Genomic DNA, 1,944 nt, shown 5'->3' with positions numbered 1-1,944 from the left:
GGAGACCCTTTAAAACTACATTTTAAATAAGCCCCTCCCTCTCTAGTTGATACTTGTGCATGCTAAAATTTGAGGATCACTTCTAGAGACCTAAGAAACCAGAATACTGAAGAAATGGATATAATGTCCTTAAGGAAATAGGCTGTATTTCTTATTACCACCTGATGTGGAGATAAATTTTACTACTGCACATATACACTAAACTCTCTGTTTCAGCTGAAGACAAAAGAGGTCAGGAGACTCTCTCTTGGCTTATGGGATTTAAGATTTCACAGGGAGGAAGAAACAGTCTGGCAAAGATGCTGTTCTTGACTCTCTCTGGCTTCTTTTTAAAGCCATCACAGTGATTCAGGTTTTAATCTCCTCAGCATGGAACATGTGTTTATTGGGGCTGATTTTTGCATTTCCCAGGTGTGAGTGCATGCTTGTTTGCTTATTGGTTGGATGAGTGATTGAATAAATGAATTAATTAAGCCAGTGAGACCAGGATCTCGAAATAAGTCATTTCCATCTCTACTCTCTTAAGGTTGGGTAAGGAGGTCAGCCTTATCAACTTCTGGTCTTTGGGAACTCCCTAGAAGCCCCTGATAGTTTATCATTCACTCTTTCCAGCCAGCCCTGGTTGAAGGCAGAAAATGACCCAACATTCTGCATGACCTGGTCAAGGCCACACCCTGAGGCAGGGGACTACAGCTGAGAAATTTTGCTTTGACTGTCACTATGCCAAGGACCCAGCACCCTGTCAAGGTTTGGGATCAAATTTGGTATTGAAAAGAGCAAAGAGAACAACATAATTTAAAAATCAAAGAAATTCATTTTAGTAGTAAAAGGTTAACAGCCTTTAGGAGGAACAATTTTTAATCACCCTCGTCTAGACTCTATCACTGGAATCACCAGCCGCCGAGTGAAATATGGCCCAACTGCCGCCACCAAACAGCTCCTAAAGACTGTTGTATTTAATCATGTCTGTGCACCACTTATGGATTTTCATTATGATTCCCGATGCTGTTGCGCTGGGTAAAATATTAATATCCATAGTAATGATGCATGAAGCTTGGAGTGTAATTTCTTCACTCTTCTTGTCTGATATTAAATTGTTACCACTTTATCATTTGTGTAGAACTGCACGTTTCAATTAATCTTTCCATATCAGCAGCCCTGATTAATATAGATCATGATTCATAAGCTTATCGTCACTATAGTTTTAACAGATCATTTATAAAGATCTTAAATTTCAGGGTCTGGGAGGTGCAGCTGCTGTGTCCAATGTGCCTTTTTATTCTCTGTTCCAACAGAGCTGCTATACACCGGCTGTCACCTCCTGTTGAATAATTAATTTCAGGAACCAAATTTGCCCAAGAAAAAACACCAGAATGAAGGGACTGGCAATTGGCAGGGCACTGGTAGTGTTTGTTCACCTTTCCGTGCCCAGCCCGGATGTTGCCTGCCCTTCATAGACCGGAACTGCTGCTTTGGGGGATTAACCACAGGTGTGTATGGGCTTCTGCTGGCTGCAGTGGGCAATCCCAGCCAGCACAGCCATCCCAGGACAGTTGTTGAGATTTGATGGAGCGTTGGATAACTTCCCAGGCAGCAGCTGCTGCTGCTCACATGAATCTACAGACCTCATCAGGTATGGCATGGCGCCTGGGGCCTTATGCTCGTCCTGGAACACACAGTCTAAGCTGTGTGCTCAGTGTAGGGTGGGGATGCACTGGGGAATTAACAAGTGAGAGGTTTTCGAACATTTTTATGAACACCAAGGTCTTGGGCCCTTTAGTCAGAGGAAGATATTAAGGCTCAGAGAAGGCTATTTGGCCCACAGACACAGGGTTCATCATCATTGAGAACCTGGGAGCCATTGCGCTGCCTCCCAACCAACCTGAAGCAGAAGCAGACCCATGCAGAACCCCTGGAGAACAGCTCCCTCTCTTTGGACAGAAT

The 1,944-nt window shown here is 43.7% G+C and overlaps 1 annotated feature.

Moving 5' to 3' along the window:
• Positions 641-1,944: an enhancer, noted in NCBI's record as "VISTA enhancer hs210". NCBI's record gives its function as "enhancer in: hindbrain (rhombencephalon)[3/4]" and the evidence as "EXISTENCE:transgenic organism evidence [ECO:0001131][PMID:17130149]".

The sequence above is a fragment of the Homo sapiens genome, chromosome 3, assembly GCF_000001405.40.
Source record: "Homo sapiens chromosome 3, GRCh38.p14 Primary Assembly".
Classification (NCBI taxonomy): domain Eukaryota; kingdom Metazoa; phylum Chordata; class Mammalia; order Primates; family Hominidae; genus Homo; species Homo sapiens.
This window is presented reverse-complemented; position numbering and strand designations above follow the sequence as displayed.